The following is a 25,591-nucleotide window of genomic DNA, read 5'->3' on the forward strand; positions in this document are numbered from 1 at the left end:
GATAGCCATGACCAGGGCCATTGAAAGCCTCGTGTTCCATCCCTGGAGCTGGAGTCATTTGGAATAAACTTTCCCTGACTCACAAGGATCCTCAGAAATTAGGAGCTGTTGGGAGAATGAGGAATGACCTGGATGCTGAAGAGGCACCCACAGATATCTAAGAGAGAGGGGGAAGGTATGATTTTAAAAGGAGATGGAAGTGTGTTAATGTTGAATGTCCTTTTTTTTCACATTTTACAACTGGGACTTTGGTACTTTGAATTGACTGGAAGAAGACCAAGCAGCAGCCACCACAGAGCCAGGCGTCTTTTGGTCTGGGACCGGGTTCCTTCTGTCTCGTGTGTTTCGTAAGGAAAGCTTTTGCTTCCCAGCTGCAGAAATGTTTTCCAGGGGGGACTAGAGGACCAGAATGTGCGGTATTTCTTTCAGAGCTCAAATAGAGTGAGTGGAGAGCATATGTATCAAACATTTACTGTGATATTTTTTTTTTTCTCAAAATGGGGAAATAAATACAAAAAATCAACAGAGGGAATGAAAGCAGAGAAATAGCCCAAAAGAATACAGTACCATACATCTCCAGTTTAGACTGGCAAAAAGCAAAACTGCTTCTAGAATGGTACAGGAAATTGTGTGACAAAATTAGAATGGGCAGCTTTCCTATTAATTTTTACATCGCTTTATTTGTTTGCCAGTAATTCATATCACCTATAACAAAAGCACCATCTTCCTGAAAGTTCTGGTAAATATACACTTCAGTTCACCGGGCAGAGGTTGGTAAAGCCGTGTCTTTTCAGAAAGTGTGAATTAAGACAAGTATTCAAATGCATTAGACCAAGGCTACTATCTTTCATAGCTACATATAATGAACATCTTCAGTGTAGGATGAGTGGCCTCGCAAACTCCATGAACAAATAGTCACTTTATTTAGAGAACCTTATAAACCTCCTTTAGCTTTAAGTAGATTGTCACACCTGGAGGGTCTCTATTGGAGGAGCTTCAATTTTCTTATAAGAAATGTGCTGAGAAGAATTAGCCAAAGGATATTGAAATTCCCTTCTTGCACAAATGCAGAAAAGTATTTTTCTTTGAAGTTCCTTGAGATTATGTTTTTCAAAGCCAAAGCATTTGAAATATGTCCATCAGGGGAAGCCTTTCTGACAATTATTTATGAGACTCTGAGAAGCGGTGGAAGAGGGGACAGAAATTTTAGAGGTAAAATTGTGTTCCTTAAAAAGATATGTTGAAGGCTGGGCACGGTAGCTGACGCTTATAATCCCAGCACTTTGGGTGGCTGAGGTGGGCAGATCACTCAAGGTCAGGAGTTCCAGACAAGCCTGGCCAATTTGGTGAAACCTCATCTCTATTAAAAGTACAAAAAATTAGCTGGTTGTGGTGGCATGTGCCTGTAGTCCCAGCTACTCCGGAGGCTGAGGTGGGAGAACCACTTGAGCCTAGGGGGTAGGGGTTACAGTGAGCCGAGATCACGCCACTGCACTCCAGCCTGGGTGACAGAGACTCTGTCTCAAACAAAAACAAACAAACAAAAAAAAAACAAAGGTGTGTCGAAGTCTGATCCCTGCTACCTGTGCACGGGACCTTATTTGGAAATAAGGTCTTTGCAGATGTAATCAAGTTAAGATGAAGTCATACCAAATTGGGGTGGGCCCTAATCTAGTGACTGTTGTCTTTATAAGAGGTCATTTGGACACAGAGTCGTGGACATAGAGAGGAGAGCAACCTGTGATGATGGGAGCAGAGATTGCAGTGGTGCGCCTGCAACCAAGGAACACCACGGACTGCCCACAACTACCAGAAGCTTGGAAGAGGCAAGGGAGGATTCTTCCCCAGAGTCTTCAGGTGGTGCACAGTCCTGCTGACACCTTGTTCTTGGACTTCCAGCCTCCAGAACTGTGAGAGAATGAATTTCTGTTGTTTTAAGCTGCCCAGTTTGTGGTCATTTGTCATGGCGGCCCTACGGAACTAGTACAGCCTGGACAAGCTCTAAGATCTTCTTCCAGGCAGAGCAAGACCTATATCCTCTCCCGCCTTGACTCTGCAGATAAACACATGTCCTCAGCCAACCAGATGGACTCAAGGTGACCTCACAAGTGCCTCCCTCTCCTGCTAAGGCCACCTGCCAGGGTCACTGTGTCACTCAGATTCCCAACCTCAAAGAACCCCAACCTTTGGAGTCAACTCTCATCAACCAGACACCATAATTTAATTAGAAAAGGGGAGATTTAAGATAGAAAAACAATACAGGACATGGGTTTTCTGAGCATGAAATAGCTCCTGAACCCAAGAAAAATTTCATGTTCCAGTAGAAGGGCATTGATGACAAAGCCTGCTTCTGCCGTTTACTTGCTGGGGCTTTGGATAAGACACTTGAGTGCTGTGAATATCAAGCTGGTCATCTTTAAAATGGGTCTATCATTCCTGCCTGGCCAATTGCTTAGGGTTGTTTGGGGAACAATTGAGAGAGACCGTGAGTGAACCAGGTTGAAATGGAAATTGCATATGAGTCTGAGGCATTGATTTTTATTAGGGAGGCTACAAAACCCAGTTTTTAGTGAGAGAGGGAGAAAGTATGAGAGGGAGATGCTACTGGAATTTAATACTAGTGAGTTTCTCAGGCAGAGCTCAGGATGAAGAAATTTATTTGCTCAAGGTCAACCAGCAAAAACTGGAAAAGACCTACAACTAGAATTTGGGGTATAAAATTGTATACTTGCTCCTGTTCTACCTTCTCACTGACCCCTTCCCTCCAACCTGCTCTATGTATTTTCTTTTTGAGACAGAGTCTTGCTCTGTCGCCCAGGCTGGAATGAAGTGGCACAATCTCGGCTCACTGCAACTGCTGCCTCCCAGGTTCAAGCGAGTCTCCTGCCTCAGCCTCCCAAGTAGCTGGGGTTACAGGCGTGTGCCACCACGCCCGGCTAATTTTTTTTTTTTTTTTAGTAGAGTTGGGGTTTCACCATGTTGGCCAGGCTGGTCTCAAACTCCTGGCCTCAAATGATCCACCCGCCTCGGCCTCCCAATGTGCTGGGGTTACAGGCATAAGTCACTGCGCCTGGCCCATATTTTATTTTCTAAATTGTTTTTTCTAATTGAGGAAGCTTTTATTCCTCCTTCTCCCCTCTCAATTCCTGTCCCTCTCTCTGTCCTTCCTTTTCCCTCATCCTCTTTCTCTTCCTCTCAAACCTCATTTTTCCTTTGAAAAGTTTCAAGTAGAATGAATTCAGTGTTCTCAGCCGAGTTCCAGCATAAAGAGCTCACTATGCACTTCGACAGAATTATCTCCTTTGAAGAATGCCCACTTTAATCTCCTCTAAGACAGGTTTTTGTGGTGTTAGAACAAAATGACATAATACTCTTCAAGCTAAAAGGCTTATTAAGTAGCATTCAGAAAATCCTGCAACTTCCTCGTAATTGGAGGCTTAATTGGGTGGGTTTAATAGCATTTGGTTATTAGGGCTAATCAAATATTCCAGAATAATTGACTCAACTTTTTTTTTTGGGGGGGGCAATTATCATCTCTAATATTGTTGTGATTAAAAAGATACATCTTGGCTGAGTGAAGACATTGTTCTATGTAATGCATGTCTCAGTAGGGTTGGAACCAACATAACCCTGGGCCAGCAGCTTCATGGCAGATTTAGTCATAGCACATGATCATAGCCCAGGAGAGCATCTCTTTCGTCTGAGGTCTCTTGTGATGCAATGAAAAGCTTGATTGTTTCCAGGGAACCTGTTTCAAGACCTGATTATGGGTATGGGGGAGAGACAGTTGGGTTAGACCATGTCATATCGTTTCATCAGGGAGATAATAACCACCATTCTAGGCTGGGAACTCCTCCGCCCCTTAATAACCATGGGACTTCAGGAAAGGGTGGGGGTCCCTGGGTTCTCAGCAGGGGAAGGAAGGATAATAATTCCCACCTTTACCTCTCACATGAGGAAAGGAGTATGAACAGCCTTGAAATTAAATTGCAAAACCCTATGGAAATAGGAAGGGCTCCTGTCAGTGCAGTAAATCATCTTGGAGGGATTCGAATGGGGTTGGGAGAGGTTCCCTGTACTACTGCTTTCTTTGACTTGAACTCCAAATGCGTCCTCCAACTTAGTCCCTTCTCAGGAGCTGGCCTTGACATTCCCATCCAAATAGGACGCTTTGGTCCTCCTGACATGCCCTCCCTCATTGATTTTGCACCAGAGAAAGTGCTATACCCCAAGGTCTCCCTTAGCAAACCTAGTTTGTCCATGCTTGTCTCTCTGGCCCCCTTTGGTTCGCCTGCCCATGTGGCTACCCAGGTCTTCCTCCCTGAAGGTGAAGCCTTAGGGGACCAGGTGAGGGATATGGGGTCCTGACTGCAACACTTGGAGCACCTCAGGACTCTGCTATCACCAATTTAAACTCTCACCTGCTGTCCAAGCCACTGCCACCCCTGTGCTGTGATTTCTCAGGGATGGTGGGGACCACGCTTGCGTTTCTGCCTTTGACCAGAACCAGGCCACACACCTTACTCCTGTCAAATCACTCTTCCTTCCCAGGAGCTGAGGAAACGTAGGGGGTGAGAGGAAGGTGGCCCTTAGGTTCCAGAGCATCTGTTCCCGCAGCTGTGAGGTCCCTGCTGTGGTTCTCTGACATGACCTTCCCCTGTGGGGGTGGGAGGGAGGAGCATTCCTCAAAGGTGCCCTTGGCTGTGGCCAGAGCCCCCACTTCCCTGTGCTTTCACCTGTTCTGTGGAGCTGGTAAGGGGAAAAGCGGCAAGGACATAGCAACCCAGGAAGATCTGGGGACTATTCTGCTGGCAGTCCTTCATGAGGAGAGCTGGGTGTCTTCACTCCTGCCAACTCCTGCGTCCACTTCTACCCCCCAGTGTCAACTTCCAGCAGAAAGGAAAACCTCTTCGCTCTAAGAGCAGCTCTGGGTCAGCCTCCTAGGGCAATGAAAATCATCCATGGCCACCCATTCCCCAGTGCAGCTCTAGACTGTGGGGAAATGTGTTAAATCAAGAATGGGCACATTGCTGGGTGTGACAGCTTACACTTGTAATCCCAGCGCTGCAGGAGGTGGAGGTGATGATGGGAGGATCGCTTAAGGACAGGAGTTGGAGACCAGCCTGGGCAACACAGCGAGACTCTATCTCTACAGATAATTAGCTGGGGGAGTGGCACATGCCTTTAGTCCCAGCTACTTGGGAGGCTGAAGTGGGAGGATCACTTGAGCCCAGGAGTTCAAGGTTACAGTGAGCTGTGATTGTACCACTGCATGCACTCCAGCCTGGGCAAGAGTGAGACCAACTCAAAAAAAAAAAAAAAAAAAAAAAAAAGAAGAACAGGCACGTCCGTCACACTGGAGCCTGTTCAGGGGGCAAGAATTGAACCTGGGCTTAAGAATCTGGGAAATATAAAGTTTCCTGTGAGCCGCTCCGTCACAACACATATCCGGTTCTTCGGATTCTCAAGACAGAAGCCTGGAAGCCACCCCAGTTCCTCCATCTTCTGCTGCCCTAAGCCCTCTTCCAATCAGCCAGTGACTCCAGTCAATTCCATCTCCTACATTTCCTCCAGGTCCATGTCCTGATGTCTGGCCCCAGCATCAGGTCTGAGTCTGCAACTGGTGTCACTCCTCTGATTTGCTTCTCTGTCATTTGCCCTCTGTCTTCAGTCCATCCTCCCACACTGGCTGCATCTGACCATGTCACTCACCTACTCAGAACACCTGGGGAGCCCCTCTTGTCCCCAGACTCCACTGCCCAATCCCCACAGCCCTGTAGGGCCTGGCCTTGATGGCAGGGGTTCTCCTGGAGCAGCCCTGGCCCTTAGCCCTCACATTCTCTCCTGCCATGTTACTGTACTGCCTCGGCTCAAAAGCGTGTCTTCTTTTTTCTACATTGTAACATTTCTGAAATTTCAGAATGCATCTGGCACAGACACATGCGTCTGAAAATGGACAGATATCCTCAGTTTTTCGGTTCCTCTCTACCCTGAGAAGTTGTTAAGAAATCACTATAATCATTGGTGTGGCCGGAGTGACAATCACTTTGGCAACGAGGCAGGAAGTAGAGAGAGATGCTGTCCTCTGAGATTTGGACTTCAACTAGTGGAGCCCCTGAAGGAGAATGAGAAGGGTCACATTTGTGTTTTGGGCAAGATCTGTTCTGGAAGTCCTGTGAAGAATGGATTGGAAAATAATGAGAGTGGAAAGAAGATGGGTGAGAACCAGATCTTAGGAGCAGAAATCCCTAGAAGGCACATTGTAGATGGACGTTAAAGCAATGACTTGTTTGTGCTCAGTGAGTGCACGGAAGGGATGGGCACTCTTTTTCTGTAAATGCCTGGATAGTACGTATCTTAGGCTTTGCGTGCCATACCATCTCTGTCACAGCTGCACACCTCTGCCAGCGGAGTAGCTCAAAGCAGCTGTAGACAATTTGCAAAAGAATAGGTATGGCTGTGTTCCAGTAAAACCTATTTATAAAAATAAGTGGTTTGCTGACCCCCAGTGCAAGGTGACACTCAGGATTTTCTTGACCAGAATTCTGTATTAACCAGAGTCTAGGAGTGGTGCAGATACAGAGGGGTTATTAGTCAGGGACCTCAATGGAAAGCATCAAGGTAAAGGGCCTATTAATGAAGGTATGAGTGCAATAAGGGAAGCAACAAGGGGTGCTGAGGCCCCCGGGGACCCACAGCAGCAGGAAGCCATCACCATCCTGAGGCCAGAGGGGCAGGGAGAGGGAGTGGTGCTCGTAGAACCCAGGTGAGAGCTATGTCTTGGGAGAGGAGCCACCTGGCAGGAGCCGAAGCTGTGGTGGGACGCAGTCACCGTAAGGACTGTGCCCAAGCCAGGAAGAGAGGGAGGGGAGGAACAAATGGCCCGACCTCCCTCTCTGCTGTTTGTTTTTTCCAGAGTTGCTATTTGCCTCATTGCCCAACCTCAGCCCCATTTTACTTGTGGTTTATCATCCTGCCTCTAAGCTGTTACGTATCTCAAACTAATGAATGTTGTTAAGAAAGAAAAGAAAAAAAAATCCAGAGAACTTAAAATCTAGTAGAAGAGATAGGCCTGCTGACGAACCAGAGCAGGGATTCAAACACGTTATAGGAGAGGCATGAGCCAGGAGCCACACGAATGCAAGAGGGCTTTCCATAATCCTGCTTTAGTAACTGAGCACAATGTCTGAGTGTCCTGTCCTTTCTACCCAGCCTGCATTTCCCCCCAATCTAAACTTCACTTTTTTGTTGTTTATTTGAGGTAGAGTCTTGCTCTGTCGCCCAGGCTGGAGTGCAGTGGTGTGATCTGGGCTCACTGCAGCCTCTACCTCCCAGGCTCAAGCAATCCTCCCACCTCAGCCTCTCGAGTAGCTGGGACTACAGGAACACGCCACCCTGCTTGGCTATAAACTTCACATTTAATTTGTATTTATATCCTCTTACTGTAATGTTCATGGGTGCCAGGCACAGTTTTAGGTACTGCAGATCATTTGTAGGTAATTAAGATTCCAGGAAGTCAGGCCAGGTGCAGTGGCTCATGCCTGTAACCCCAGCACTTTGGGAGGCTGAGGTGGACAGATCTCTCGAGCCCAGGAGTTCGAGACCAGCCCGGGCAACATAGTGAAACCTGTCTGTACAAAACAACAACAAAAAAGCCAGGTGTGGCAGCATGTGTCTGTAGTTCCAGTTACTCTGGAGGCTGAGGTGGAGGATGGCTCGAACCTGGGAGGTGGAGGTTGCAGTGAGCTGAGATGGCGCCACTGTGCTTCAGCCTGGAGGACAGAGTCACACTTTGTCTCAAAGAAAAAAAGAAAAGAAATCCAAAGAACTTGAAATCTAGCAGAAGAGACAGGCCTGCTGACGAACCAGACAGAGCAGGGACTCAAACATGTTATGGGAGCGGCATGAGCCAGGAGCCACACATGCAGAGGGCTAAATTTGGACTGGTCTGAGGGAAGGCTTTGCAGAGAGGGTGACATCTGAACTTGACCTTGACGGGTGGACTACGGTTTTTGCAGGCAGAGGAAACAGCTTGATCAGAGGCACAGGGCTGAGAGGGATGTATTCTTGGAGGACCAGGGGCTGGGGAGAGACAGAGCTGGAGCAGGCTACATGGGTGCGGTGGAAGGTGGAGAGTGGCTGAGATGAGATTAGAAAGGCAGGCAGGGGCTAGGTCACAAAGGGCTGTGAATAGCCTGCCCAGATAATTCGGTCTGATTCTGTAGGGCACTGGGGACTGAACAGAGACAAATAACAATTGAGCCCATACCTTGAATACTAAACTCTCATATTAACATTTTAAAAAGCATTCTCTCTCAAATTCTGTCCTCTTCCCTCTTTGCTATGACTTTTACCTCAGCTTCATCTATGTCTCAGATCCTGTCCTCACTGGCCCCCTGTTCTGTTCAACTGTTTCTTTTTTCAACCACAACTGTCCTTCCAAACAGTTAAATATGAATTTTGGATCTCATTTATCTATTTCTACTTATTGCCAACTGTGGTTGGAAGATTTGCATGATGAAAAGTGAGAGGACAAAATTGTCTTCTCCTTGGAGAAATAATCTGTGCACCTGCCATTTGGAAATTATTCATGCTTTGTGAGAAAAGTTACAAATTACTCCCTGGAATGGAGCTAATGTACCCATCCACAAGCGACCTCACCTTCATCTGGGTACTTTATTAGCTGGAACGCCCCATCAACACGGCCTTGGGGAGTCGTAGATCAAGGTCACTGTTAGGGCATTCGCTCATTCACTTATTAAATATTTATTAACAACTGATTATGTGCCCCGCACCATACAAGATGTACTAGGAGGCACACTCGTGTGCATCAGAAAATACAAGTCTTCCCTCCCTAGAATATAAGCTCCATAGAGCAGGGGCTTCGTCTGATTTACTGCCTTATTGCCAGTCCCTGTAGGAGTATCCAGCGCACAGTAGGGTCTCAATCAGTACTTACTAAATGAAAGAAAGCTGTTATGTTGTATTGGAAAGAATACTGGAAATCCACGCTTGAATCCTAGAATCTGATTATGAGCAAGCCAGTTTCTTTATCTAGAAACTGACTTGCTTAATCAACCTTTAAAAGTTAAAGGTTTGCTCCTAATAATATTGACTGCATACAGCTCCCTATCAGATCCCCTACTTATATCTTTATTTTTCTGAATGGGAGAAACCAATCTAACAAAATATTTTAAACATCATGGTTTCTAAAATATCACCGTCTACTCTATGGGCCCCAGATAATACTAATTAAAACCATAAACAGGGCAAAGTAAGAATCCAACTGAATAGAGGCAGTAGAATATAGGATGAGTAATGCTTTTCCCTTTTCCTTTGTTGGCATAGCTATCAGGAGGCAGAGGAGGGATAGAAGCCCCACCAATTCTCACTCTGCCATAGCTGAATGAAGCCAGTTGATGGAACTTTCTCCAGTCCCCTAGTTATACAATCTGAGAAGTGGAGCACTCAGCTTGGCCTGCCACTGCCACGCCACTCTGCCTTTTGGTCAAGTGAGCCCTCACAATGGCGGTCAGTGAGCCTGCTCTTCCTGGGTCATTGTAGCAGTTCAGATAATAGGCCCACAGACATCAGCCCTGCATTGATCCCCTTGACAATGGCTCAGTTCTGCACTGTGGCATTATGCAAAGCCCACTCTGAAACAAATTTGCCTTGAAACACATACAGATGTGCCTCCCACCCCCACCGCTGCTGGAAACATTGAAAGACATCTCAGCAAAACGAAGCTGGGCTATAACGAGAGGGGGGTTTTCCTGAGCACGAACCAGAGGCCAGCAGAATCTCAATCAATATTCAAATGCCAGGTGAGTTTTATAGGCAGGGGCAGCATGCGGACGCCATGTCCTGCCTAGTTTGCAGACTTCCAGCTAACATGGCTTCAGCTAGACTTGTCATACCTGTAGGTGGAGGAGGTGGTGCAACCTGAGATGCTTCCCAATGTCCTGTTTAAAGAAAAATATCATCCTCCTTGCCCCTGACAATCTTCCTTCATGCCCAAAGTGTCCAACATCAGTCCTTTCTTTTCTGGGTCTCTAAAAGTTCCCTTTAAATAATAGAAGCATAGACGTGCTTGTTGTTGTCACTGTCACCATTATTGTCATCATCAGATGTGCTATTTACACTTAAACGGGCTTTTGCCATTTTGTTATTGGACTCTTGCAATATTCTTATTGAACGATACAAGGCAGGGACTCCGACGTGTATAGATGAGGAAATTGAGACTCAGATGGGTCAAATGACTTGCTTAGGGTCAGTAGCAAATATATGTTAGAACCAAAGACTCCTCTGGTTGGGACTGACTCAACTCTCATCTAGTCCGAGTCATCTCTTCTACACTATTCCAGACCTAACTTCTACTTGGATGCTTCCAGCAATGAGGAACTTACTTCCTCTTAAGAAAACTGCTCCCTTCCACTGCTGGTTAAACCTTATTGTTAGTTCACCTTTAGATTGGGGAACGCAGGTCTGCCTTCGTGTATCTTATACCCAACACCCTTAGTTCTGTCCTCTTTGGCTGCATGGAATAAGTGGAACTCTCCTCTATGGCAGCCTTTGTATATTTGATGATAATTCCCTGGCCTTCCCAGGTCTTCCTCTTCAAGCCAAATGATTCCCTAAAGTTTTGAGATACCCTCGCTATCATTATTTTCACTCTCCTTTAAATGTGTTCTAAATTGTTAATATTCCTTTAAACACGGGACATCAGAACTTAACATGAGAGTCTACCTGGGACCTGAAAAACAAAGTAGAACTGTTAACCATCACTTCTTTGGGTTTTTTGTTTGTTCATTTTCTGTTTTTTTGAGACAGGATCTCACTCTGTTGCCCAGGCTGGAGTACAGTGGTGCAATCACGACTCTCTGCAGCCTCAACTTCCTGGGCTCAGGTTATCCTCCCACCTCAGCCTCCCAAGTAGCTGGGACCATAGGGACATGCCACTGTGCCTGGCTAATTTGTGTGTATATGTGTGTGTGTATTTTTTGTAGAGACGTGGTTTCACCATATTGCCTAGGCTGGTCTTGAACTACTGGGCTCAAGTAATCTGCCTGCCTCGGCCTCCCAAAGTGCTGGGATTACAGGCCTGAGCCACCATGCCTGGCACCATCATCTCTTTGGATAGGACATTGCGCTTCTATGAATGCCATAGAGCCTGCATACATTATTTTTTATCTAGGTTTCATCTGGAATCATGGGATAGAGAGAAGGTAAGATTTGATAGGAAGAAATCAAGAAAGCCTGAAGTGTTGCAGTAGAGAGGCCCTGGGGACATTACAGTGGGGGTGTCGGGAGTGCTGCAGGCTGCTGAAAAGAAGAGTTGGACACTAAATAAAGAAGGCCCATTCTCACAGGCCCTATGCCCCTTTCCCCTTGCTCTCCTGTTCTGTGCATATGGGTCCACCAATGCCCCGACTTCCTCCTCCTCTTCTTATCCTTCTAAATAGAGACACATTCTCCCTCTGTCACTCAGGCTAGAGAGCAATGGTGCAATCATTGTTCACTGCAGCCTTGAGTTTCTGGGCTCAAGCAATCCTCCCACCTTAGCCTCTTGAGTAGCTGGGACTATAGGCACATGCCACCATGCCTGGCTTATATATATATATTGTAGCTACTAGATCTTACCATGTTGCCCAGGCTGGTCTCAAACTCCTGGGCCCAAGTGATCCTCCCACCTCAACTTCCCAAAGCATGGGTATTACAGGTATGAGCCACTATGCCTGGCCTAATGCCCCTACTGCAGGGAACCTCATTTGCTGACTAGGCTGCTTCAATCCCCCTTATTGTGATGGCCAGGGTGACCAGAGGACATGTTCAGCAGAAATAGCTAGTGGTCCAACAAAATCTATTCTCTCCTTCCATTATTTATAGAGTTGTAGTTAGACTCTATCTAACTAGAGATGACATTTTCCAGTCTTCCTTGTGGGTGGATATGGCCATGTGACTAGCCTTCAGTGGAATGTGAGCCAATTCCTAGATTGGCTGTTAAAAGACTGGTCAGCCTCCTCCATGTTCTCTTCTCCCTCTCCCTATCCCCTCTAGGTGGAAGACAGGATGTGGCAAGGACCCAGCTGCAACCATACCAAAGAGGATAGCACAGTAGGGCAGTGTTTCTCAAGCTTGAGCTCATCCGAGTCACCTAGAAGGCCCAGATTCCTGGGCCCACCCCAATGTTTCTGGAGTGTGGCCCAAGAATTGCATTTCTGAGAAGTTCCTAGGTGATGCTGCTGCTGCTGGTTGGCAAGCCACACCTTGAGAACTTCTGCCTCAAGGGATGGGGAAGCAGTACAATGAACCTGGGTCCCTGAATGACTTTGTGGAGCTGGGCTGGTCTACCAGTCTAGACCAAACTCTTAAGTAAGAGAGAAATACTCCTTTGTTTTAGGGTTGCCAGATCTAGGAAATTGAAATGTAGCATTCCCAATTAAATTAGAATTTCAGATAAAAAATGAATGAATTCAAATATTGCATAGGGCATATTTAAGCTAAAAGTTGTTATTTATCTGAAATTCAAATGTAATTGAGTATCCTATATTTTATCTGGCGATCCAATTCTTTGTTCTTTAGGTCAGTATATTTTGGGGTCTCTTTGTCACAGCAGATTAACCTTCCTCATCAATACAACATCAAGACCCAGGGCTAAGTACTGGGTCTCACACAGGGTCCTGAGCATCTTGCCTGCTTTGGTGTCCCCATAGTGATCATGAGGATCCTACCTGCTCTTTCCTCTTGTCTTCTCTGGACTCTAGTTCTCTTAACTGGATTTGTGCTTTTCTCTCTGTACCATTGTCTTGCTCCAGTAACTGCCTGGAAGCTCAGTCTCCGAGAGAATCAGAGCCATGATTGTTACTCAGCACCATTCCTGGGTGTTGGGATCCTGGCCCAACTCCCAACTCTCTTTCCATGTTATTATTTATACCAGAGTCTCTCTTCTTAGACTGTGAACATCCAGAGGGCAGAGCCTGTGTCTTTTAAGTCTCCGTCTCTGCAGCCTTGAGCTCCTGGGCTCAAGCAATCCTCCCTTGCTGAGTTCTAGGCATAATGCCTAGAACAGAGGAAGTCACCAATACCTGATTGTTAAGTAAAAAAATGCTGCCTTGTGCCCAGCTGGTCTCCTGGTGGCATGCCGGGAGCTCCAAGCTTACCAGTACGGTTGACTTAACAGGGGCTTGTGTTCAGGCTCCATGGGTGTGTGGAATTGCATTACCGTGCCCTTATGCAGTCATTGGTGTGCTGAGCTTGGAGGTTGCTGGAGAAGAACTGGGCAAGGAGCAGAGGAGTCTCCTTTGAGGAAAAGGGCCAAGACCCCAGCCCCACCCCTTTGAGGTGACTTTGATCAGGTGGCAGGAAATGGCAATGTAGCCCCTGAGATAGAATTCTGCAGGAGGCAGGAAATGGTAGAGACAGTATCAAAGGGTTGACCCGCAGCAAAGGCCAGAGGTAAGAGTAATAGAAGGTGAAACTCTACCAGACAACTTTCCCAGGCAGGCTCTACAGGGTTTGTGTACAGGGTTTGTGCCCCAGGAAAGTGGTTGGAGAAATGGCTTTGAAGGATCCAAATGCTGGGAGCCCAGGCCAGCTCTGCATGGGACTCTACAGTCAGGGGTGGCCTGCCTTACTCCCTGAGGAGCTACCATGGGCTGGGCAGGACCCACCCCTGCCAGGCAGCATGATCCAGAGCATTACGTGTCCCCAGCAGTATCACGGGCTCTGCCTGTCATGAGGGGCTGCCCAAGTGTTTATGGGGTACGACGTGAGGACAGACAGGACTGGCCCCTCTGGACAGAACATACAAATCTCACTGAATGCCTGGGTACATAGAGGCACCTCTTGAGAGATTCTTGAGCCAGTCAAGGTGGCGGGTCCAGAGAAAGCCTGATCATCTGGTAAAATTGGTGAGGAAAAGCACGAGCTGATCCCTGGCCCCTGCTGTGGAGTTATTATATTTGCATTCCTGAGCTCCGGGATCAAGACAATGCCAGTGACTCCAGATTTTGTTCCTTTCAATTCTCTGAAGCTGGACTCTGCTCAGATCACCTGATGGGACTCTCCCCTTGGACTTGGGGTGCTGGCCACCCCTGACCTGAGAAGGAGCTGTGATTCCTCTGTCCACCCAGCAGAAGCTCAGCTGTCAGCCTCTCTTCTGTCCAGCTGGGATGTCTGTCCAGTGCTCGTCTGGCCACGAGCCCCCATGCTGGCCTCGCGGGGAGGATCCAGAAGGCAGGGCCCACACTCACTGAATGTCTCCTCTGCCCAAGGCATTGTGCCAAGCACGTCATGTACTCGCTCGTGTTTTTATCCATTCATTTGCTTTATTCATACAGTTATATCTGGATTCGTCTCAAAAAAATTTTAAGGTAAATTTGTTTTTCAACCTTCACAAAAACCCTGAGAGGTAAGGATTATTATTTCCATTTTAAAGACCATGAACTGCTGCTTAGAGAGGGGCAGTCACACAGTTAGTGGGCACAGCTACTGGCAGAACTGGAATTTGAACATTGGTTGCTTTGACTCCAAATCATATTCTCTTTTTTTCCTGAATAGACTTAAAAAAATATGAAGCATTTGATATATGCAAAAGGACACATGTAATGTATATGTAGGTTATAAAGCACAACAGTAACATGCCTCCCCTGGAAGCCCGCCCCCTCGGGTTTTCTATGGGCCATACGACCTCCAAAGGAGCATTGCTGGGAACTTGCCAGGAACCAAGCAGAGCCAAGTGTTCTCCAGCCATTTTGTCCTGGGACCCTCCCATCTCCCTGGGAGGCAGGCATTTCATCCTCAATATACAGATGGGGAAACTGAGGCACCGAGGCTCTCCCACTCAGGCCAAGGTTCCAGGCGGGAGGATGTGGTAGACGGGAGTTCAGCCCGGTCTGTTTGACACCCCCCAAAGCCTAGGGCTTCCACATCTGGCTGTCCCTCACACACTCTGTGGACATTTTTGAGAATGTAGATCCTTGAGCTCCATCCCTGATCTTGTAGATCAGAATTTCCAGAGCTATGGCCCAGGGAGGTATCATGTTCAAAACTCCCCCAGTGACTCTGTGCAGCTGCCCACAGGCAGCAGTGGGCGATGAATGTTAGTGAAGTGCTACGAGTGGCCGGGAGAGGTGAGGATGGAGCTTTGGGCAAGACTACCTACCTGATTCTGCTACTCATGATCCTCAGTAACCTGCAGCCCAGAAGAGGGCCTTGGAGACCCTCTGGACAGGAACACACAAACCCTTCCCCCAGGCAAAGAGTGCAGCACCTCAAAGGCTGTCATCGTCACATATGATCAAGGTCACTTAATAAATGAGTATTGAGGGTTTCTAATATTTGGTGTTCATAAGGTAAAAGGAGCCAACATTGGAATTTACTGAGGACTTGAACACAGTGTTCTACTTAGAAGCCTGGCTGCCATCTGGCTCTTGGCAACAGAGGTGGCTGGGAATCCTGCAATTTGGGGGAAGGCTACGCATTGCTGGCATCCCGTTAGTGCTGTCTCAAGTCGGCTATGCTTTTCAGTCATTGCTCTTCTTGCTCCTTGGCTGTATGTTACAGTGAATTCAGCTTCACCCATCTCCATGGTGTTTGTCGGGGGTTGTTTGGTTAACTCTGCAGTGTGTAGTGATGCCCATTTTGCATCAACCATCTGGGGAGTCTATAATTTTCCAATGACTAGACTCTAGTGTCATAGATACTATGATTCCCATGGGAACCTCCACGTGCTGGCTGCAAAGGCGGATGCATGCATGCACCTCTGGCTTCCCCAAATTTGCTTTATGGCAGCATTTCCTATTATCACACAGTACCTTTTCCATGGAAAATTGGGACTGGATGAGGCAGTAGACCATGAGGTCTTTTGTCCTGCTCCAGTGGGTTACCCATCAACAAAGTTTGAGAGCCATTGGCTTAGAGGCAGCAACTCTCAGAGCTGGGAGAAGCCCCAGACCCAACGTCAAGGAGCCTCTGAATGTGCTACAGTTTCTTTAATCAGCTGGAGGTAGTTTCCTCCAATTTTTAAGACTATGGCCCAGTACATGGGCAGTGGCTGCCTTGAGGGGCTGTCCAATAATGTGATATTTCATTTACAGCAGTAAAGGAGCATAGCTTGTGAATGTTAATATTGGATTATTTCCCCTCATAGTTAGCTGCCTCCTCACTTCACTGTTTCCATGGCAACACTTCTCAAACACCACTTCATACTCTGAATACACAATGTAAACAATCTGCAGTTGAACATTTCCCAATTTAGGGGTTTGGAGCCCAAGTCAGCAGGCCTGCCGTTCGGAAGCTGCTGAGAAGCGGGAGGCTGGCGGAACTCACAGCAAGGACTGCCAGAGCCAGCCTGGGCTGGAGGGCAAAAGGTCACTCCCTGAGTATTCTGCTTTTTCTTTAGGGGGCATTTAGTACAGGAGGGGCTTGGAGTGACTTATAGAACTGGGAGGGGCTCCCCGATCACTTAGAGATGAGGAGCTTCAAGCTCCAAGAAGTGAAGTGACTTTCCCATTGTCACACAGGTTTGTGATGGAGCCAAGACCAGAACGAGGGCTTGTCCAGGCACTACAAATGCTCACCCAGTGTGTGCTCCTGAGCATCCCCACCCAGCACCCCCACCTCCCACCCCATGGTCATGGGTATTCCTTCCCATTGAGTCTAGAGACTGAATCATACTTCTCAATTTCAACACAACATCTGTCAGCCCATATGGACACCACTGACTGGCTGCAAGGGCCTCAACTGGGCCTGCATGCAGGCAGCTCCATGGGCCCTGGTATCTCTACTAAGGAAAGCAGGGACTCAGCTTACTGTCCTGGGAGCAGCTCCAGACCCCCACTAAAGGCATCATTATTTTCTTTTTATCAAAGGAACTATTTTTATTTCCAGTGTCTCCCCACACAGAGTAATGCATGCAATTTCCACATGGTTATAAGCAAAGCAAGGAGATTGTTGCTTTGTTTTTGTTGTTTTTTTTTTAATAGGAAAACCTCAGACGATTTCCTTTTAACTTCTTAGCAATCCTTAGCATCCTTTGACTTCTGAGCAAACAATCATATGGTTGCTGTGTCTTTAGCAATGAGCCAAAGGACACTCATGACCTAGGGAAGTTAAAAAGAGACTCAGAGAGTGTTTGAGAAAATGCGACCAGCAGGTGCCCTATGGGGATGGGCTGTTGGGAGGTGCTGGGGAGGGGATATCCGTTTAGCTGCTGACTGGGCTTTGGAGTGAGGGAGGATGGAGTCCATCCTTTGAAGATTTTAAACAGACAGCTTTTGAGCACAGTGTATCCCTAATACAATGGGGGCAGAGCTTCTATCTCTCTGCCGATATCCTGGGGACTCAGTGTGTATTGCACTCACACCCATCAGAGCCCTTTCTGCTCCTATTCATTTGGTTTGGGTTGGTCACAAAGGTGTGTGCCTACTGTGTGTCCTCCTAGGCATGGCCCATTGGGTCTCCCCACTGATGCCAGGTAAGATCACCAGAAACGTAAGAGTGTCCCTGAGAGCCAGGTCTAGACTCCAGCTCCCATTCTATAACCCATGCTGGGCTGGTCCTGCTGGGCCTTCATCATGAGCACCCCAGGCCCTCAGAGTATTACCCGTGGGACAAAATCCACAGGCACATCAGGGCTCTGATGAGCTGATGAGGGTGTTGAGTATTAAACCGGGACCACTGACAATGCCCCCACCCTAAGTGAATCAGACATAGCTATTTCTGTCTTCTGTTCTCCAGATTGCCCCCCATCCCCAAAGAAGATGCTTTTACTGAGGCAATTTTGCCAGATAGAGCTATGAGCCAGAAGACCAGGCTTTCAGGTCTGGCTCTATCACTAACTCACTGGGACCGTGGGAAAGTCAAGCCCCTTTTCTTGGCCTCAGTTTCCCCATATGCAAAATGCAGGGATTAGGCTATATCAATATTTCTCAAAACACCAGTTCTATGGGGATATTAACTGGTGATGGGAGCAAAAAGTATTCCAGGGTGAAATAAGTTCCAGAAATGCTGAATTCCACAAAATAATAGATGTTGCATTGTGTATCTTCCCAGAGCCAATAATATGCCTTGCAGGCCTCCGAAAGGGGATTATAGCATACAATATTTCCAAAATGTATTTAACCACAGGGCCTCTAAACTCTTCCAGTATCAGCATTGGAATTCTCTTGCTTTCCTTGGAGAAGCAACAAGAAATTGGCCTTTGCTTATTTAAGTCTCTGAGGCTATTTGGTCTTTTAGTTTATTTCTAAAATATAGTCCTGAGTGACGTCTCAGAGGTATAGTAAAGATCCACCTTAAACCAGAGGTTCTTGAAAGTCCTTAGAAGATGGCTTTGGGGAAAGGGTTCCACTCCAGAAATTATATTCAAGGTCTTGTGTATATGGTTTGTACACTTTAGGAAAGTATACAAACCATATATGATAATATAGACAAAGGTCTATAGGATTAATTGGATTTTCAAAGGCCTCCATGATCTTCAAAATGGTGGGCCACTGATTTAAATTCTTACCAGCTAATACTTATGAAATGAAGTTTGATTTTATAGAAATTTGGATGTGAAACTATATGAGATGAGATTTTGGTATCTTGATAGGAGGTAGGGGAATGTGGGACAGAAACTATGGCAAAGAGGGCAGACAATGGGAAAATGAGAGGGACCAGTAGCAGCTCCATCTTGGGCAGGCCATGTCACCCCCAGTTTCTTCCTTGGTTCCAGGTGAATGCTTCTAAAAATCATCATATGGTTCTTCGTTATAAAACTCAGCTACTGAATATTAATGCTTTGTGGCAAGGAGAAAATTATTGCTGTATCAGAAAGGCTTCTTCTCTTACAGGTCACTGGGGCTCCACATATTAAGTTTTGCTCAAGGGCACAAATGTCCCAAATGTATGTGTCTCAAGGCCAGACACTTTCTGTTCAAAGACACCAGGGTTTCCACTTCAGGCTCTCTTCCGGCAGAGCAAGGCTGAGACTCTGAGAAATGGTTGCAGGAAACTCCTCCTGCCTCCCATTATAAAGCGCAGCCTGCACGTACAGATGTGTCCCGAGGCAGTGGGGGCATTTGTAAGAGGACTGAGAGAAGGTTCTAGAAGGTTTTTGCAGAGCCAAGAATGCAAGATGGGAAGTCCAGATCCACAGAGGGCCATTGTGAAGTGTGAATTCAAAAGCAGTTCAATTTGAGTTCTAAAGCTCACCGTTCTGGCCATCTGCTAACCGTCTTTTGATCACTGGCCTTTGAAACAGAATACTAATAATAAGTTTATACATTATTATTTACCAGCAGCCTGAGGGATTAGAATTCTCTCGGCTTGAATGACCCTATGACTGCTCACATGCATGACCCAGAGGAGGACGGTTTTAGCCTTTGGCAGAGGGGAAAACGTAATTGTGTGTTTTGATGACAAAAGAGCTCCTTTCTTTCCTTTCATAGTCTTCTAAAATATCTGCATTTTCCTACCTGAAATATCTTCATCCTATAGTAAGAATTTGCTAGAGAATCTGCTTTCAGAACCTGGTTAAAAAAGGGTTGGGGGTGGGGAGGAGAGTCCCCCAAAGCTAACTAAAAATGTTCATCAGAAATCCCTTAAATTAATTTAGAACACTGAGTCATACAGGCCCATCAACATTGCATAACAGCCATTAAAGTATTAGTATTACTTTGGGGGCACTTGATTATGCAACCCAGTAGTAAATCTCCTCTGGGCCTTTTTTCAAAATTCCCAACAAGAGTTGCAGTTTACTAATTTATTTTTGAATGAGCTGAGTCTGTGTTCATCCCAGCCTCCTATTCAGCTTTTTGCCTCCGTGCAAGGATGGTGAGCCATGCACAAGTTGGCACCTAGCATTAAAGAGGTGCTTTATATTTCACTTCCAATCATATGCAAAGGCAGAACCACCAGTTCACTCACTTAACAAGTGTTTACTGACAGCTTATATGTGCAGGAGAGTGAGGCTGAACCTAGAAGAGATCTGAGTTTCCATCTGGTTTTGTCTTTCTGGGTGTCAATTTCCCCATCTATAAAAGGAGGACTTGGGCAGGAAGGCTCATTCTTGAGGCAGGATGGTTAAGAGCAGACATTTGGGACCCAGACCACCTGGCTTTGAATCCCAGCTTGGTCAGTTACTCGCTGTGTGTTGAGTTTGGGCAAGTTACTTAAAGATTCAGAGGCTTGGGCTCTTACATTTGTCGATCACAATGGTAGTTACCTTGCAGAGGTGTCGGAAGGATTAAATGGGTCAGCGAAAGAAAGATCTTTGAACGCTGCCCGGCCCAGAGCAGGGATAGAGAAATAGAATCTATTATGATTGTTCTTGCTGAGGCCCTAGCAAGATGACTGCTCACTAAGCCATTTCCTCTCCTCCTTCACCCCATGTCCCAGCCTTCCTGGAGTCCATGGTCATGTGGCTGAGTTCTAACCTGTGAAATGTGGGTGGATACAAAGTCACCACGTCCAGGTTTGACCCATAAAAACCTTCCACGTGGGATTCTCCATGTCCTCACCCCTCTGTTGTTTCAGTGCAGATGAGCTTGGCACCCCCAGAGGCCATGTGTGGAAGATGGCACAGCCACAAGATGCAAGGGACCAGGAGCTCTGAATAAGCACTTGGAGAAGAGCCACCTGCCAATACATCCATTTTTGGACTTCATGTGAGTGAGAAATAAACTCAAAAGTGCTAAGCTCATGAGATTTGGGGACAGCTAGAGTTACTACAGCGAAGTGCTAGGCTGGGTACCGAGTCTGAGGGACTGAACCTATTTGCAATGGCCCGATTGCTTGACTCGCAGTTTCTGATGTTATCTGGGTAATGACCAAAGGACACCGAGTTCTCCAGTTGGGGACAAGAGCTCGTACATCTAGCAAGCGCTGGCCTGGTCTCTGGCAAGCTTCCTGCAGACAGCTGCCCGAGCTGGCCGCCTGGGCTTACTGCCCCTGCATTCTGGACAATGGGGCATCATTTCCACCCAGATGCCACAGGGAGCTACTCAGGTTACCCAGGCAGTAGCCCATGTTCAAAATACATGATCTCAGTCCTCAGAGCTTTGTCCATTTCTGTCTTCCCAGCCTTGGCCATCTTTTGAGTGGGAATTAGCAGGAATGTTCGTATAGGAGCCTCCAAAGTGGGCAGAGTAAAAATTTTCCTCATTAAAACTCAAAGCAGGCCGGGCACGGTGGCTCATGCCTGTAATCCCAGCACTTTGGGAGGCCAAGGCAGGCAGATCACGAGGTCAGGAGTTTGAGACCAGCTTGACTGACATGGTGAAACCCCGTCTCTACCAACAACACAAAAAAAATCAGCCGGGCATGGTAGTGCGCGCCTGTAATCCCAGCTACTCAGGAGGCTGAGGGAGGAGAATCGCTTGAACCCGGGAGGTGGAGGTTGCAGTGAGCCGAGACTGTGCCATTGCACTCCAGCCTGGGTGACAGAGCAAGACTCCGTCTCAAACAAAACAAAACAAAACAAAACAAAAACAAAGCGAAACAAAAACAAAGCAAAACAAAAACTCAAAGCAAAATACACTTCCTGACAAAACACAGGACTGAAAGATGCTCATCACGTGTACTGGTTTCCCTTGGGGACTGATTTGGCAAACGTGCACCTGAGTTGGAGACGTGTCTGTCCCAGCAGTCCTAGCTGCATTTAGCAACTCCCCTTGTGGCAGAATCTCCCTTTGATGAAAATCTCCTCCAATGTTGTCTGTTTCACTCTCCTAGCACTTGTCATTTTTCTCCTGGCACTATTGTCATTTCTCCCCATGTATGTAAGGCCCTTCCAGAGATGCAGAGGCCACAGCTTTTGAGGCCTGAACCATTAGCAAGAAATGAAGAAATGCAAAAGCAAGAGAGAGCATGGTCACAGAAAAACAAAAACCCAAGCTGCTCTAGCCTTGGGCTATGCAGTGCACTGGTCATAAAGGGAAATCTGGCTTTTGTGTAATGCCACAGCTTATACGGAGCAAGGAGAGGCCAATCCAACAGCAGAAAATTAGGAAGGGTCTGAATTGGAGGCCCCTTTTGAGCCCTTGCCAAATAGCTCTTCCTGTTGTCCCCTGTGGTTATCCCAACCTGCCTTATTTCCACTCTCAGACTGACAAGAGCCAAGTGAGCAGAGGGCAGTGGGTAGGGGGTGCTCTCTGGTTTGCAGCTCGAGGTGAAGGCTTGGATCTGTGACTTATTACCTGGGAGAGCTTGGACTAGTCATTTAATGACACTTCTACTACTCTGGTGGAGGCTGATCATTGTCCACTTACGTCCCTTCTGGCTCCCACAGTAACGGCATTCTCACTGGGCACATACTGCCCAAACATTTCCCAGACTTCCTTGTTTAGGTGTGGTCATGTGACTAAGTTTCCATCAATGGAATACAAGGAGAAGTGACGCTGGCCATCTCCAGGTCTACGACTTGTGACATTGAGCACGCCTCCTCCATGCTCTCCTCCCACTTCCTGTTAGCTGCAGCCCAGGTGTGGTGGTGAATCAGCTTTGACCACAGGAATGACGATAATGCTCCAGGGGATGGCAGAGCCACAAGGTGGAAGAAACCTGGGTCCCTAAGTGATGATGAGAAGCAGAGCTGCCTTCCACACCTGGACTGCTCTATAAGACTATTGCATACAAAAAAGAAATTGCTTTGTTCTTCAAGTCACTCCAGTGCTGGGTTTCTTTGACAGGGTATGTTAGCCTTTTCTAACTCGTATGTTCCTACAGGGTTATGGTGTGGTAAGATAGAGAATTGTAAAGAGCTATACAGTTAGGTGCTCCATAAATGCTTTCTGAATGAGTGGTGAGTGAAGGGACTGGTTATTTCCATGTTTAAATTCCGAGAATCTGCTGGGCATGGTTGCTCATGCCTGTAATCCCAGCTACTCAAGAGATGGAGGCGAGATGATTGCTTAAGCCCAAGAGTTTGAGACCAGCCTGAGCAAAAATAGTAAATCCCAAGAATCTGAGAAGCAGCCTTACAACATATGTAGCAGCTACACATGGTGACTGCAGGGAACCCCAGGCCTTGTCTGTTTAAGCACTTTCCCCCTTGGCTGGACGTTCCTACCATGAGTCAGTGACCATGAGATGACCCACGCAGGAGACAGCCGTGGCACACAGCCTTCTGTCTCTACAGGAACTAACTTATCCCACAAGCTAATCAGCTTGCCTGTCAGGGTGAGCATCTGTGGCATGGGGTAGTAGGTGGAGGGTGTTTAAAGGGCAGAAGACTGGGTTCAAATCCAGCTGTGTCTCTGACTCCTCATGCAAATTGGAGCAGGCCACTTAATTGTGAAGGACCTTGGCTTCCTGAGTGTCTGTAAAATGGGGATGCTAATTCTGGCTCTGCCTATTCCCTAGGGCTATGAGACACGCTCAAGAGATCCAACAATGGTGAAAACACTGCATATGACAGATGCCAATGGGAGAAACATGACAAGTCAAGTCACATTTGCTGAGTGTGGGCTGGGTGTGCTTGTCTCTTTCTTCCATGAATATTTATTGAGCACCTACTAAGTCACATAGTGAGCATGGTAGTTCCTGTCCTCACAGAGCTTAGAGTCTGGTGGAAACTATATATTATACAAGGAAGTAGGCAATTACCATACAGCATGATGAATTATCAATAGAAATGCAAGGCACCATAAATATACAGAAGAGGGCTCCTAACTCAGGCTTCAGGGCTCCTGGAATGCTTTTCAGAGGAAATGATCTCTCCTCCAAGATAGGAAGCAAAGGAAGAGTTATCCAGGTTAAGGGGGCTTTGGAGGTGGGAAGCATGTTCTAGGCAAATGAGATAAGGGTCACCCTTGAAGAACAAGAAAGAGCCACAAAGAGGCTTAGAATGGCTAGAACTTGGAGTTGAAGGAGGGGAATGATGACAGATTGGGCTGGAGGGGCCAGAAGGGTCTGGAGCGGGGGTTCTCCACCCCGGCTGCAGCTTGGAGAAAATACTGATGCTCAAGTCACCTCCACCTCTGGTGGTTGAGAAGTTCCCCAGGTGATTCAAATGTGCAGCCAGTGTTGGAAGTACTGCTTAGACCATGCGGGATCTTAAAAGCCAAGTGAAAGAGATGGAAGTTTATCCAGAAAGCCTCTGATGGTTTTATGGAAGGAAGGGTTGTAATCAGATTTTTCTTTCTCCAGATGCTGGGTGAAGAAGGGAATGAGACAGAAAGACTAGGCTTAGAGAAGCTGGTTAAGGAGGCTGCTGCAGTGATCCAGGTGGGAAATGGACCCAGAGCTGTCAACAGGGATGGCAAGAAGTGGACAGATCTGAGGCCTGGTTGATGATGGGCTGCGAGGAAAGATGTGGGAGATGTGGGGAGACAAAGGTCATTCCTTGAACATGCAGGTTGAAATGACCAAGAAGTTTCCAGCTAGAGAAACAGACTTGTGAGTCAGCAGCAGAGAGAACCAATGCACTCTCCCAGGAAGAGGGGTAAATGGTGAGAAGAAAAGAGGGACTGGAACGGAACCCCAGAGGACCAGGGAGAGCTGCGCCCCAAAGGGACCAAGAAGAGCTGGTCAGAGAAGGAAGAGAAAGACCAGAAGCGCACATTGTCAAGAACATAAAGAATGGTGGCTAGTAAGAGTCAACATGTGTAAGAGGGTCAAATTCTGGGAGATGTATTCACAGGCCACTGGTAACCTTGGCAGGGAAGATGGGGTCAGTGCCTGGGGCGGGGCTGAAGTGGTGGTAAGAGCAGATACCATCTAACAGGGGCAACTATTCTTTATCTATTTGTTTGCTCATTCAGTAAATACTTTATACATGAAACAGGGTGCTGTGTTCAGAGCTGTGGATAAGATGCCAACTCCGGAGGCCTTCACCCACTAAAAGGAGACAGATAATCTCGCCCACATCACAAAACGATGAGATATAAATGCTAGAATGAGGCTGGGTGCGGTGGCTCATGCCTGTAATCCCAGCACTTTGGGAGGCCGAGGCAGGTGGATTGCCTGAGCTCAGGAGTTCGAGATCAGTCTGGGCAAGATGGTGAAACCCTGTCTCTACTAAAATGCAAACAATTAGCAGGCATGGTGGCACATGCCTGTAGTCCCAGCTACTCAGGAGGCTGAGGCATGAGAATTGCTTGAGCTCGGGAGGTGGAGATTGCAGTGAGCTGAGATTGCATCACTGCACTCCAGCCTGGGCGACAGAGCAAGACTCTGTCTCCAAAAGAAAAAAAAAAAAGCTAGAATGGAGATGTAGTTCACGGGCTTTAGGACGTAGCAGAATCAACTCTACCAGAGAAGAGGAAGGGGCAGGCAAGGAAGGTCTTAGAAAGCAAGGAAGAGGGACAAGGTTTGCACTGATGTGGTCATCATGAAGGCCGCCCATTGTAGAGTTCAGATCTTAGCCTGCAGTGGAAGAATGGTACTTCTGGACCTCCTCATGGATTGGTGGGGCCATGTGACCAGCCTGGGGCCAAGAGTGGTGAGTAGAGGTGAGAGCAGTCATGTTCCTGCCAGAGCATCTAACGGTCAGCACAGGAGGCGCCAGAGGTCCTTCAGGCACTGCAAACAGCCAATGTTGAGACTGTGGCTGCTTTCAGGTACCTGACTGACCCCTCCTCAAGACACGCACCTCTTGGTAGACCAG

At 47.2% G+C, this 25,591-nt stretch overlaps 1 long non-coding RNA gene across 1 annotated transcript; it reads left to right on the forward strand.

The window, feature by feature from the left end:
* Positions 1–9,693: 9,693 nt before the first annotated feature.
* Positions 9,694–24,930, forward strand: LOC105370627 (uncharacterized). Its single transcript, XR_944153.1, has 3 exons — positions 9,694–9,824; positions 20,526–20,651; positions 24,133–24,930. It is a non-coding gene; the product is annotated as an uncharacterized LOC105370627 (long non-coding RNA).

The sequence above is a fragment of the Homo sapiens genome, chromosome 14 (genome assembly GCF_000001405.40).
Source record: "Homo sapiens chromosome 14, GRCh38.p14 Primary Assembly".
Classification (NCBI taxonomy): domain Eukaryota; kingdom Metazoa; phylum Chordata; class Mammalia; order Primates; family Hominidae; genus Homo; species Homo sapiens.